The following is a 14,922-nucleotide window of genomic DNA, read 5'->3' as shown; positions in this document are numbered from 1 at the left end:
ACATCTCCTGATTTTGCAGAATGACAAGTTTGGAGAAAAAAAAAGCGCTGGCCATTTAATAATTAAAGATATTGTGAGGCCGGACACGGTGGCTCACACCTGTAATCCCAGCAATTTGGGGAGGCAGATTACTTGAGGTCAGGAGTTCAAGACCAGCCCGGTCAACATGGTAAAACCCCATATCTACTTAAAACAAAAACAAAAACAAAACTTACTGGGGCATGGTGGTGCATGCTTGTAATCCCAGCTATTTGGGAGGCTGAGGCAGGAGGATCACTTGAACCCAGGAGGCAGAGGTTGCAATGAGTCAAGATCACTCCACTGCACTCCAGCCTGGATGACAGAGTGAGACTCCATCTCAAAAAAAAAAAAAAAAAAAAAAAAAAAACTGAAATACAAAGGCAGTAAAATATGTTTTAGTGATTCATTTCTATTGTATCAGCTTTGAATCATTTTAAAATCCTCACTCTCTTGGCCATTCTTCTATACGAATGGTGCTCAGACTTCAGAATGCATGATACTAATCGTCATATAAACATGTTTATGGCAGATTCCTGGGCCCTGCCTTTAGATTCACTAGCTCTGGAAGCATTCCATGATTCTAATGCAGTTGATCCATGAACACAGAGCTCTCACCTCTGGTGTTGTACCTGGCTTTGCCAGCAACAGGACAACATTGGGCATGGGTCTCTGTCTCTGCTGTCTGAGCACACCGAAAATTCCCAGGTAGAGATGGGCTTGAGCTGAAGGGCAGATATAGCATTGGTTAGCCACCACTGCAGTCTGCCCTCTGCAATTTAACTTAGTAAAGATCCCATAGCCTTGGGAATGAGGTATAAGGTCACAGCCAGTGACAGTAAGCCCAATTCAAACAGCTGAGGACAAGACTCTCGAATTTTACTTTAGAACATTTTTAAATATTTAACTGTCTTGCTGTCCTTCTGCCCCACTGGTCAAAGTTTCCAGAGCCTCTTCTTTGTTCATTAATACAAACAACAAAAACAAGAGTAATAATAACCCTTTATATTTCATAGTGGGATAACAGACTCATTGAATTTCAGGACCAGAAGAAATAAAGATTGTCTCATTCAACCCCAAGGGGGAGAAAGCAGATAATGTGGTGACAGGGCAGAGTCCTGACTCTCAGTGCAGGGTTTTCTGATAGAACTTTGCAAAATCATTTCATGGCTATGCATCATTAATCTGTCTGTTTTATCTGTGCCTTTGCCTCAGAACAAAACTCAAAATAGTCCCTAGAAGACAAATAATCAGAGGCAACCAACCAAACCCCACTCTATCTGACTTGTAGGATGGTCAATGGGCTGACAATTGCCTGGGGCTGGACCTGCACAGACTCCATCTTACCAATGGCAGAAGCAACATACCAACCCCTGGAGCAAATGTGTCTTCTCTATACTAAAATTATTGTCACAAATAATCATGAACTGAAATGAATCATAACAATAACCAAAAAAGCAATGCTGACAACAAAAATTATCTTTTGTTGAATGTGGTGCAGATAAATATTTTTTACTTTACAAAAAGTAAAAAATAAAAATAACATATTATAGCACAAATATGCAAAAATAACTATTGATATTTTTTTCATTGCATTTATATATATGTATATTTTGAGACAGAGTCTCGCTTTGTCACCCAGGCTGAAATGCAGTGGCGCAATCTCGGCTCACTGCAACCTCCACCTCCAGAGTTTAAGTGATTCTCATGCTTAGGCCTCCTAAATAGCTGGGACTAGAGGCGTGCGCCACCATGCCCGGCTAATTTTTGTATTTTTAATAGAGACGGGGTTTCGCCATGCTGCCCAGGCTTGTCTCAAATCCTGGCCTTAAGTGATCTGCCTGCTTCGGCCTTCCAAAGAGCTGGGATTAAGGGCATGAGCCATGTGCCTGGCCTGCATTAATATATTTTTAAAGGGAAAAAACCTTAGACCTATATAATGGCCTGTCAAAGAAATGAATAGTGTTACAATTAAATAATAAATAACAAGAATAGAATTTAAAATGAATGTCAATTTTAAGAATATCACTCAAAATATTTCACATAAGAATAAAAATTTGCCCTTACCAAATAAAAATATTATACCTCACAGTTTCACTGTTTTAAATTCTAAACACAAAACCAAAAACTCCAAGGAATCATATAGATGATAGAATTGAAGCAAGTGAGGTTCTGTTTCTTCATCTTTGCAATCCCAGTGCTATAACTGTTTCTTTGGACTCTGCAGTGTAAATGCAGGAATATATGCATCCCAGGAGTTGGAGGCACAAACTACCCCTGAAGGAAGCTGGAATGACTGCGATCTGTTACAAATTCTTCTCCAAAGAAAGCATGCTGCTGGGTCAGTGTGTGGGGTAGTGGTGGGAGGGGGAGGGGAATACGAATTCCCTGTATAACTGGGAATTCTCTTAATTAACTTCCATATAGAATACAACTACTAAAGGATAATTGATACAAATATGTAAATTTGAAGGTTAGATATATATTAATCAAACTCAGAAGTAATTTCAGCAATTATTTGGAACTCAGACCAGCAAAAGATATTTTAGGAGTGATAAGTATTTTATCATTGGCTTTGTTTAGAATTGCCAGACCATGATAATAATTAAAAGCAGACTATGTTTTAGGACATCTACAAAGAGCCTATAGCTAACTATCATACTTAATAGGGAAAGACTGAATACCTCTCCCTAAGATGGTGAACAGGCAAGGATACCCTCTCTCATCAGTTCTATTCGATATTGCACTAGAAGTTCTAACCATTGCAAAAAAGGCATGAAAAATAAAGAAAAGACACAGATATTGGACAAAAAAAATAATAAAACTATCTTTTTCACACATAACATTTTTATGTTAGAAAATCCTAAGGAATCTATGGAGGAGAAAAAGCTACTAGAATGAAAAAGTTGAATTTAGCAAGGTCATACGATACAAGGTGAATGTATAAACTCAATTATATTACTATATACCAGCAATGGACATTTGAAAAATAAAATAAGATAGACTGGATTAAGAAAATGTGGCACATACACACCAAGGAATACTATGCAGCCATAAAAAAGGATGAGTTCGTGTCCTTTGTAGGGACATGGATGAAGCTGGAAACCATCATTCTCAGCAAACTATCGCAAGGACAGAAAACCAAACACTGCATGTTCTTACTCATAGGTAGGAACTGAACAATGAGAACACTTGGACACAGGAAGGGGAATATCACACACTGGGGCCTGTCGTAGGGTAGGGGGAGAGGGGTGGGATAGCATTAGGAGATATACCTAATGTAAATGACGAGTTAATGGGTGCAGCACACCAACATGGCACATGTATACATATGTAACAAACCTGCACGTTGTGCACATGTACCCTAGAACTTAAAGTATAATAATTAAAATAAATAAATAAATAATAAAATAAAATAAAAAATACAATTTCATTTACAATGCCGTCAAAAAATATGACATAGTTTGGGGTAAATGTAACAAAGTTTATGTAAGATCTGTACACTGAAAACTATAAAACATTGCTAAAAATTAAATAAGACCTAAATAAATGGAGGTACAAATCATATTCATGGATCTGAAGATTCAGTATTGTTAAGATGGAGATTCTCCCCAAATTGGCTCACAGATTGAACATAATCCCTGTCAAAAATCCAGCAGATTTTTTTAAAAAACTTGACAAGCTGATTCTAAACTCTATATAGAAATTAAAATGATTTAGATAACCAAAGCAATTTTAATACTTTCTATAAAACTATAGCAATCAAGATCTGATAATGGCAAAAACATAGATATGCGATCAATGTGGCAGAGACAGTCCAGAAATAGACCCAAACATGTATGGTCAAGTGATTTTTGTGCCAAGCCATTTCAATGGGGGAAAAGGGGTGCTTCGGCAAATGGTGCTAGGACATTCATTGCAAAAGATATAAGTATTGGCCCTTGCCTCACACCATACTCAACAATTAACTCAAATTATATAATAGACAACATGTAAAAGTAAAAACTATAAAACTCCTAGAAGAAAACCTAGGAGAAAATCTTGGCAACTTTAGTGTAGGCAAATATTTATTGAATAGAGCATAAGACCAACAAACTATTAAAAACATAATTGGTAAACTAAGCTTTTATAAAATTAATTTTTGCTCATTGAAAAACACCATTAGGAAGATGAAAGAGAAACCACAGAATGGGAAAAAAATATTTGCAAACATATATCTAACAAAGGACTTGTACGTTGAATATATAAAGAACTAATACAACTCAACTGTGAAGGCAGACCAATTAAATATAAGCAAGATAATTGAAAAGACCCTTTGCTAAAGGAGGTATATGAATGACTAATAAGCACATGGAAAGACCCCAACCTCATTAGCCATTAGGTGAAGGAAAATTCCATTAGGCATTAGGAAAATGCACATTAAAACTAAACCAAGATACCATTTCACACCCACTAGAACAACCAAAATTAAAGAGACAGGCAATACTAAGTGTCAGTAAGGATGTGGAGCACCTGGAACTCTCAGACAGTCCTGGTAGGAGTGTAAAATGTTACTATTACTTTGGAAAATACTTTGGCAGTTTCTCATAAATTTAAATACATATTTACCATGTGATCTAGCAATCCCACTCCAGGTATTTATCTGAAAGAAATCAGAACATGCATTTACAAAAAGACTTGTATACAGATGTTCATAGCAGCTTTTTAATATACAGATGCTCCTTGGCTTACTTACAATGGAGTTATGTCCCAATAAAGCCATCGTAAGTTGAAAATATCATAAATCAAAAGTGCATTTACTATACCTAACCTACCAGACATCATAGCTTACCTTAACCTACATTAAATGTGCTCAGAACATTTAAATTAGCTTATGGCGAGGCAAAATCATCTAACACAAGCCTATTTTATAATAAAGTGTTGAATATCTCACATAATTTATTAAGCAATGTACTGAAAGTGAAAAACAGAATGGTTGTATGGGTACTTGAAGTATGAATTCTACTGAATGTGTATTGTTTTCGCATTATGTTAAAGTTGAACCATCATAAGTCAGGAACTGTCGGTTTATACAAAATACACCAAAACTAGAAACAATCCAAATGTCCATTAACAGAGAATTGATCAATAAATTGCAGTATATCTATATAACAGAATGAAACTTAGCAAGGAAAAGGAAGAATCCACTGATACATGCAACAATATGGGTGAATCTCAAAAGCATTATGATACATGAAAGTCTGACTCATTCCCTCTATACAAAATTCTAGAAAATGCAAACTTTTCTAAACTGATAGAAAGCAGATTAGGAGTCACCTGGGGGTGGGGAGAAGGGGAGATTTACTGCAACTGGATACAAGGGAACTTTTGAGGGTTATGAAAACATTCTGTGTCTTGATTAAGGTGTTTACATGGTTGTATACATTTCTAAAGCCTACTCAAATGCATATTTAAAATGGAAGCATTTTATTGTACATAAAATGTCTAAAATGTTTTGCAAAAAGATTCACTCAAACCAAAACCAAAAACCAAAAAAACACCCAAATTCTCAAATCCTCAACTAGCTGCTTTTCTCTCAGTCCATTCCTGCTGCTATAACAAAATACCACAGACTGAGTACATTATAAACAATAGAAATTTATTTCTCAGAGTTCTGGACCCTGGGAAGTCCAAGATCAGGGAGCCAGCAGATTCAGCGTCTGGTGAGAGCTGGTCTCTGCTTCCAAGATGGCACCTTTTTGCTGCATCCTCTGGAGCGGGTGATCATTGAGTCCTCACATGGCAGAAGGCAGAAGGGGAAAAAAAGATGAAGACCCCGAGAAGCCTCTTTTATAAAGGCCTTAATCCCATTCACGAGGAAGGAGCCTTATGACTTAATCACCTCCTAAAAGTCCCACCTCTTAATACTATTATTGCATTGAGGATTTAGTTTCAGTATGAATTTTGAATAGACGCAAACATTCAAACCATAGCACTGCCCATTGTCACACTGGGTGCAGGGTTATAAAGGGAACATCTACTATACTGAGCTCCCTCCCGGCAAACATGTACTTCAGCTCCCAAGCCTTCACGTGGTTCCTTACTGTGTGGAAGAGCGATAGGCCCCACATAAACCTCTACGGGAAGCCTGGGATACAGGTAGGCTAAAGGGGCCTGCTCTATGCTCCCTTGACTCTTGGATCCCACTTAGCTTTCTGTGGGGAAGGAAGGGTACTTCCTCCCAAGTAAAGAACTTAGCTGTCCTCAGCCACCAGGCTTCCAAAGGGAAGGGGAAGAAGGGTGCAAGGAACAGAAGACACTTGTCTTGCTTTAGAACTCTCTAGAATGACAAGCATTTATTTTTTTTATTGATGACTCTCTCAATGAAAACACTAGTGTGGAAGCTTTCCATGCATTACCTTATTCAAATCTTTATCATAACTCTAAGTGTAACTCCTTCTGTTATGCCAGCTTACAGAGGAAAAAGCAAAAGGACCAGAAAGGCTAAGAAGCTGTCTCAAGCTTTCAGAGCTAGTACACAGCAGAACAGAATCCAAGATGCAGGATGTCCAAGCTATGTTCTCACCACCACATGACCTTTGATCCTGGTTGCTCATGCCCATCCTTCCCTCATCACCCTTCCCCACATGCACACAGTTGGCAGTGGCAGGCTCATGTTCAGAACAGACAGTGCCTGGGCCTGGAACACAGAGTTCTGTTCCCCTCTCTGCTCCAGCTACATCAAGAGTGCCCAAAGTTCAGACTCCCATCAAGTCATTTTCTCTATAATTCAAATACAGAAGTACTTTTAAGAGACATACAGCATTCCTGCTATTCCCGTGTGCTATAAATATGTAATTTATGGGGAAAATGGGAACTCTGTGTCATATCCGAATTGAGAGGTATTTGCAGAAAGGAAAAAAATATCCCATCGTGTTGAGTCACGGAGAAAAATAACTACTGCATATCATACTAGTAAATAGGAAAGTAAAAATAGCTTCTGGGAGGAAGTGTAAATTAAATGTTAATATGGCCTTGAATTTATTTCAAGTATTTTCCATTAAGCGTTTTCATTTTTCATTTCCACAACCTGATCAATTTCTCCCTATTAAACCAAGGTCAAATAATTTTAGATGCTAACTTGGAAAGCCTTAAGATCAATGTGCTTGACTCCCTTTCAAAAGAAGGAACATAAGGCATCTTTTGTTTGCAAACAGATATCATGGTGCATAGGGCATTCGTCACTGAAGAGCAAGATGGCGGTGGGGCCATGGCTGCCTTTTCTCTGGCTTGGCCAGGGCATGCAGTTCAGTGAGGGGTGGATGCTTCATTTTTCCTTGCCCACCACTCCTCTTCACATGGAAAGCTGCCCGACCTACTCTGACCACGTGGTCAAGTGAGTGCTGGCATCTTGGCCACGCAGGTGAGAAAGCCAGCCAAGCGGGTCTCTTCAAGTCCTTTCTCAAGATTTTTCTAATGTGAACTAAAGAAAGAGAGCACCGCAGGGAACACAGGAGCCTAGGCGTGGCTGGCAGCTGGGTTTCTGGCTGAGTGGGGAAAGTCTGACCAAAAAACCCCTGACTCTCCAGACCAGATTGTTTCCCCAGCCACCAACCTGGTGCCTCCCAAGGGTTTTGTTACACATAGGATCACACGTCATAGACAAGGCACTGTGTCAGGAGCCCTGTGGGCTGCTTCTGTCCTTCTGGAACCCAAGCTGGAGTCACAGAATCCAAGAATTCTCAGCTGCCATTGATAAATAATGAACAACGCTTCCTAGCTCCTGCCCTGCCTCAGGTACTCTGCAAGGTATTTGATGCAACTCACTTCATTTAATCCCCACAACAACCTAAGGAGGTAGGGACTATTGAAATCTTCATTTTACAGATGAAAAACAAAACCAAACTAAATTGGAGGCTGTGAGATGTCAAGAAATCTCACCATCACTAAGCTTTTCTCCATTACCCTAGGGAAACTATAACCTTGCTTGCTCTAGATCTGGACTCTTTCCTAACAATTCTTGTGCAGACAGGAACTACAAAAAAAAATCTAAACTAAAAGCCTGGTGCAAATGACCCCATTTTCAAAACAAAAATGGAGCTGCCAAGTGGGAAGCTGAGCCCAGTATCTGGGGCCTGGCCAGCACGGCCATCCAACTGGACATTTCACTCGCACACGATATGGATTCTGCACATGGGCACCAGGGAGGGCAGCTGAGGGTGGACTTAGGGAAGAGCCTCAAATTTCTACAGTATAGGCTTTTTAAAAATTTAAACTTTATTGTGGCAAAATACACATAAAATAAAATTTACCTTTTTAGGTGGACAATTTGGTGGCATTAAGTACGTTCATATTGTTGTGCAACCATCACCACCATGCATCTCCAGAACATTTTCATCTTCACAAACAGAAAGTCTGTACCTCTTAAACAATGACTCCCCATCTCTCCCCCACCCCGCAGCCTCTGGCAGCTACCATTCTGCTTTTTATTTCTATAAATTTGACTACCCTAAGCACCTCATGTAAGTACCTACACAGTATATGTTTTTAGTGGCAAGTTTTCAATCACTCCAAGTATTCACTGAATACTTTGCCCAGCATTGTGCTAGGCTTTATGGGCGAAATGTATGAGCTCTCATTCCTGCCACCGAGATCATTCTAGTTGAGCTGTGAAAGCAGGCTAGCTTCTAAGAAACAACGTGTCAGATGCACGATACTAGCTTGGAGGACAAGAGAAACTTAGGTGAGGGAGAGATCCTTCTAACATAGTGCAATCTAAGTAGTTTTCATAAGGGTGATGACTCAGTGAATGAGTAGGAGGTTTGGTTGGGCAGAGAGGAGGATTTTGGATGAACTGAATCATAAATCCAAGCAGGCAAGCTGGATCATCCTGAGTAGTGCCAGCCAACACCAAAAGCAACAGCATGCTGATAGTTTCTCTGAGGACAGAGCGATATACCCTAGATCTGCTTGTGCCTCCAAGCCACACATACTCAGATAATGGTTTGCTTTTCTCCTATTGCAAAAGAAATGCAAAAGAAAAAAATTGACCTGGTGCAGCGGCTCACTCCTGTAATCCCATCACTTTGGGAGACTGAGGCAGGAGGATAGCTTGAGCCCAGGAGTTCAAGACCAGCCTGGGCAACATGGCATGACCCCACCTCTACCAAAAAAAAAAAAAAACAGGCAGGCGTGGTGATGCGTGCCTGTGGTCCCACCTGCTAGGGAGGCTGAGGCAGGAAGATCACTTGAGCCCAGGAGGATGAGGCTGCAATGGGCTATGATTATGCCATGGCACTCCAGCCTGAGCAACAGAGTGAGACCTTATCTCAAAAAAAAAAAAAAAAAAAAAAGGAAAAAAAATTTTTAGATGATTGGGAGTTGGGGCTTACTACTGTTTTTTATAATTGTCTCAGAAAACAGCTAAACCAGCTCTCCTGTGCAAGTTTATTTTTCCTTTGGCAAAAAGTTTGTAAACACTTCTGAAACTTGTGTGGATGTCTGAACACCAGGGTCAGGTCACATCAACCCTGACTATACTTGGAGAGTGAGACCCCTGAAATCACGGTGGGATAAGCCTCCAGATGTCCACTCTAACCAGTCATACCACCCTTTAAACAAGCAGGAGGGAGCCCGGCCCCCAGCCTGCCAGCTCTTTGAACAAGTGCACCAGTGGAGCAGTGCTCCCTGGAGACAAGGCTCTCTGTACAAGGGTTGCCTCCCAGGTCTTTTCCATATCCCCTCCCACCGGATCTGTCTTTTGCTTTTCCAAGTATAAGCCTCATTTAGGGACCCTGATAGAGAGGTAAGAACAAGAAGGCCTGTACCACTGTTGGTCATATTGGTTTGCCTTTTCTTTCCTTTCTTTCTTTTTATTTCCTCCCCACCTTCCCTGTATGATGTAGCAGTAAATAAAAGTACTCCTACCTTTACACAAAAGCATTTCTCATTGTGTCTCACAGCAGATAGCTTTGATCCTGGCCATCCATTCAACTGTATGCATGTTAACAGAAATTGCAAATGCGGAGCTAAGTGAAGTAGACAGAAAGTACACTACGGGCCTTTATGAGGCATCCTAGAACCCTAGGAGAGGAAAAACGTGAGATGGCAGTGAGTGAGTCCTGCCTGGATCCCCTGCCAGCCTCCTCCATTCTTAGGCAGTAGTAGTAGTAGTTTATGGTGAATAGATGTACATAAACCACAACAAAACAATACAGGGTGGTAGAGTAATGAATCCTGAAAAGGAGTTGAAATTCTGGGATAAATCTCTGTACCAGTTCTTCCTAACAGTTCTGAGAAATAGAAATCAGTATCAAATGCCTTGCTGATGATTTCCATAGGAAAAGAGCCATTTCTTTCTGCAACCAGTATTTTCCTCTCATTCCAGTGACATAGAAAAGGTCACCCCGGGCCGGGCGTTGTGGTTCACGCCTGTAATCCCCGCACTTTGGGAGGCTGAGGCAGGTGGATCACCAGAGGTCAGGAGTTCAAGACCAGCCTGACCAATATGGTGAAACCCTGTTTCTACTAAAAATACAAAAATTAGCTGGGTGTGGTGACGTGCACCTATAGTCCCAGCTACTCGGGAGGCTGAGACAGGAATCGCTTGAACCTGGGAGGCGGAGGTTGCAGTGAGTTGAGATCGCACCACTGCACTCCAGCCTGGGTGACAGAGTAAGACTCCGTCTCACAAAGAAAAAAAAAAAAAGAAAAGAAAAGGTCACCCTGGGGAGCACTACTCCCTAGAGTCGCATGCCCCAGCAATGCTGTCCTCTGCACAGCAGCTCAGGTTCCTCAAGTACACTGAGGCCAGTAACACACAGCAGTGAGACATGGGAACCGCAGACCACATTGGAGTTACTTCTTACCAACTCCATCTCCCATCTATTCTCTTGTTTATTACTTCCTGCTACATATTGAACAGGCTGAATCTTAAAAATATCTCAGTTCTGGCCTACAGTATTCCAACAGTCCAACTGGTCTACTCAGCTCTAGTCTGTACTTTTTCCAAACACATCCCTCATACTTGCCTGAGGTGGTATATTTAAAACATAGTTCTCACCATGTAACTCTCTTGCCTAAAACTACCTCAGGATAAACTCCAAGCTTAGCGCACTATGTTTCAAGCAAAAAGAGACTTCACATATATAATTACAGTAAAAATTTCCAGTCTCAAAGATAAGTTTTAAAAATTTCATAAGTATCCAAGCCAAAAGCCAACCAACAAAATAAACATAAAGTATACATTAATGTTTTTCTAATAATAAATGGCAGAAGATGATGGCTATGGTTTGAATGTGTCCCCAAAATTTATGTGTTAGAAACTTAATTCCCCAGTGCAACAGTGTTGACAGGTGAGACCTTTAAGAGGTGACTGCAGACTCTTCTTGAATGGATTAATTGTGGGAGTGGGTTTGCCCTAAAAGCAAATTTAGTGCACTCTCCCTCACTGTATCTCTCTCTCTTTCTCACTCTCTCTCTTTCTGTCTCTCTCTCCCCCTCTCCCTCTCCCTCTCTCATTCTTTCTTGCCCTTCTGCCTCTGCCATGGGATAATGCAAAAAGGCTCTCACCAGATGCAGCTCCTTGATCTCGGACTTCCAAGGCTCCAGAACTGTAGGCCAGATCAATTTCTTCTTTTTATTAATTACCCAGTCTCTGGTGTTCTGTTATAGCAGCACAAAACAGATTAAGACAATGTTAAGTTAAACAATGGGGTAGAAGTGGCCCAGCACAGTGGTTCACACCTTTAATCCCAGCATTTTGGGAGGCTGAGGTGGAAGGATCACTTGACACCAGGAGTTTGAGACCAGCCTGGGAAACATAGTGAGACCCTGTCTCTACCTTCAAAAAAACAAAAGATAGATAAATTAGGTGGGTATAGTGGCATGTGCCTGAAGTCCCAGCTGCTTGGGAGGCTGAGGTGGGAGAATCACTGGCACGCAGGAGTTTGAGGCTGAAGTGAGCCATGATTATGACACTGCATCCCAGTCTGGGTGACAGAACAAGACTTTCTTTTTTTTTTTTAAAAAAAAAAAGAGGAAGGTGGGTCTGAAAAAGCCTAAAGGTGAACATTAAAAACAATTCACCATGTGGGAATGGGTTTTGTTACAATCATCATCAGTATAAAATGAAGACATTATTTGAAAGACACACAATCATTTATAGTTAGAAAAGCAAAGCCTCTTTATTTTGACATACGTTTCTTCCATTACTCTCCTTGCTCCCTTAGACCTGCTTCCTGCAGTCGGCCCTCAAATTATCTGCATCCTAGGCCTTGTCTTAGCCATTGCATTTAGGGAAATCCAAACTAAGAAAGCATGTAGAGAGTGGCCCTAGAAAATAGAAGCTACCTGTAGCTACTTGTAGGTCTGAACCTACAAACCTCAGGATAGAATTCCGGTACGGGATCATTCACCCACCAAATAGTAACAAGGACCTCATTTCTAGTGGTAAGTGGGTTGATGGTAACCCTTGGTGTGCTGTAGTATTAGGATTAAGACTCTTACCTGTGATGGGTTAAGATGAGGAACAGGTGGAAAGGGAAATGTTGGTTTATACAGTAGCTTTAGCTGGTCATATGTATGTATATATATATATATATATATATATAGATATATATATATAGATATATAAAATCTCCACAAACAGCTAGTCTGATAGACAATTGGAATAGCCTATTAAAGTTTCAGCTAAAGTGATATTTGGAGGATGATACCCTGCAAACATGAGATACTGTCCTCCAGAATAAATTGCATGCAGTAAATCAATGATTTATGGGTCTGTGTCCACAACAGCTAGGATACATGAGTCTTCAACACTGTATAAGCTTCCTATTACCACAAAACTTCAATCCATATTGTGTCTACTAATAATCATATAAAAGTAGCTGGACAATACCTTTACTCTCCTAATTCTTAATTCATCAAACTATCTTCCAACTTTTCCTAGATCAGCTAAGCTTCAAGCAGCTGCTAGCCACTGCATCCATCCCCTCAAAAAAAGTAATTCTGAGGTTCTGATGAAGCACACAGCAAAAACACTTTCCCAGTCAGTCTCTCCCACCGTGGCTCCCCATTCCAGCAACTCTGTTCCCCTGGTTTCATGTCTAATTTTAGGGGACAGGCTTTTCTTCCTCCTTCGCCTTCTCTCTTTTCCTCCCTCCTTCTCTTCTTCCTTCCCTTCCTTTCTGTCTTCTTCCTTTCAAATCCAGCCAAAGATGTATATAATTAAGGAAAAACTAAGTAATCTAGGTAATAGGGACAAAAGGAAAATAGAGAAAAATAAAAGATGAAATAAGAAGGGTAATATTAGCACACAGAGAAGTTGACCATGTGACACTTGTAGGTGCTTTGAGTTGAACTGTGTCCCTGCAAAAGATCTGTTGAAGTCCTAACTCTGGGTACTTGTGAGTGTGACCTTACCTGGAAATAAGGTGTTTGCAGATGTAATCATGTTAAGACACCCATTAGGGTGGGTCCTAATCCAATATAACCGGTATCCTTATAAGAAGGGGGAAATTTGGACATAGACACCCAGGAACAATGCCATGTGGTGACAGAGGCAGCGATTGGAGGGATGCAACTGCAAACCGAGGAACACGAGGTACTGCTGGCGCTATGGTTTAAATGTTTTTGTCCCCTCCAAAACTCATGTTGAAACATAATCCCCAATGTGCTGAGAGGAAGAGCCCAGTGGGAAATGTTTCAGTCATGAGAGCCCTACCCTCATTAATAGATTAATGTAATTATAAAGGGCTTGATGAAGGGAGTTTCTCCTCCTACCCCTTGCCTTCTGCCATGTGATGATGAAACCAGAATGCTCTCACCCATTGCTGGCATCTTGATAGGGAACTTACCAGCCTCCAGAACTATGAGCTAATAAATGCCCGTTCATTATAAATTACCCAGTCTCAGGTGTTCTGTTATAGTAGGCATGAAATGGACTAAGACAGCCAACCACCACCAGAAGCTAGGGAATGGTAAGGAAGTACAAAGGGTACTTCAAAAAAGTTCATCAATAATGTGTATCATGCTCAGCGCGGTGGCTCATGCCTGTAATCCCAACACTTTGGGAGGCTGAGGCAGGCAGATCACTTGAGGTCAGAAGTTCAAGACCAGCCTGCCAACAAAGCAAAACCCTGTCTCTAATAAAAATACAAAAATTCGCTGGGTGTGGTAGCGTGCGCCTGTAGTCCCAGCTACTGGGGAGTCTGAGGTGGGAGAATTGCTGGAACCTGGAGGCTGAGGCTGCAGTGAGCAGAGATCACACCACCACACTCCAGCCTGCGCAACACAGTGAGACTCCATCTCAAAAAAAAATGTGTATCATGAAAAAATTATGCAAGGATTTCAATGCTTTTCCACACCAATAAGCTGGTACTAACTTGTATAACATGTCTGAATAGGGTCTAGTTTGAGGCATGAAGAAGGATAAGACTTCAGTTTGAAAAGAGTCCATATCAGAGCAATATGAAGTCGGCTAAAGCAAGAATCAACCTCAAATTTGTGGTGAAGCTTGGGGAGAAGAATGGTAAAATCATCGATACTTTACAGAAAGTTTATGGGGACAATGCCCCAAAGAAATTAGATGTTTACAAATGGATAAGTGTAAGAAGGGATGAGACAATGTTGAAGATGAAGCCCATCACGGTAGGCCATCTATGTCGATTTGCAAGCAAAAAATTCATCTTGTTTGAGCCCTAACTGAAAAGGAACAATGATGAATAGCACAAACAATGCCCAACACCAAAGACATCTCAACTGGGTCAGCTCACACGATTCTCACTGAAAAATTTTAGTTGAGCAAAGTTTCTACTCAATGGGTGCCGAAACCACTGTGCTCAGATCAGCTGTGCAGAAGAGCAGAATAAACAATGGGATCATTTCTTTGAAGAATTGGAACAGGAGATGAAACATGGCTTTACC

General features: G+C 40.7%; 1 protein-coding gene and 1 long non-coding RNA gene across 12 annotated transcripts in view; both read right to left on the bottom strand.

Moving 5' to 3' along the window:
- Positions 1–14,922, bottom strand: part of PDE8B (phosphodiesterase 8B) — a 341,542-nt gene that overhangs the window by 317,941 nt on the left and 8,679 nt on the right. The gene's annotated exons all lie outside the window — the stretch shown is intronic.
- The window catches only part of ZBED3-AS1 (ZBED3 antisense RNA 1), a 62,587-nt gene that overhangs the window by 38,986 nt on the left and 8,679 nt on the right, over positions 1–14,922 (bottom strand). For 4 of the 10 annotated variants that reach the window (NR_182766.1, NR_182765.1, NR_182771.1 and 1 more), the window contains one exon: positions 11,569–11,661. The exons of 5 other annotated variants lie outside the window; for them this stretch is intronic. This is a non-coding gene — a long non-coding RNA (ZBED3 antisense RNA 1). Of the gene's footprint in view, positions 1–5,635; positions 5,792–9,924; positions 10,081–11,568; positions 11,662–14,922 lie in introns of those variants that run through there. One more of the 10 variants, NR_182767.1, reaches the window with a different exon arrangement.

This window comes from Homo sapiens, chromosome 5 (genome assembly GCF_000001405.40).
Source record: "Homo sapiens chromosome 5, GRCh38.p14 Primary Assembly".
Classification (NCBI taxonomy): Eukaryota; Metazoa; Chordata; class Mammalia; order Primates; family Hominidae; genus Homo; species Homo sapiens.
Note: the sequence above shows the minus strand (reverse complement) of the source record. Positions and strands in the feature narration are given on the sequence as shown.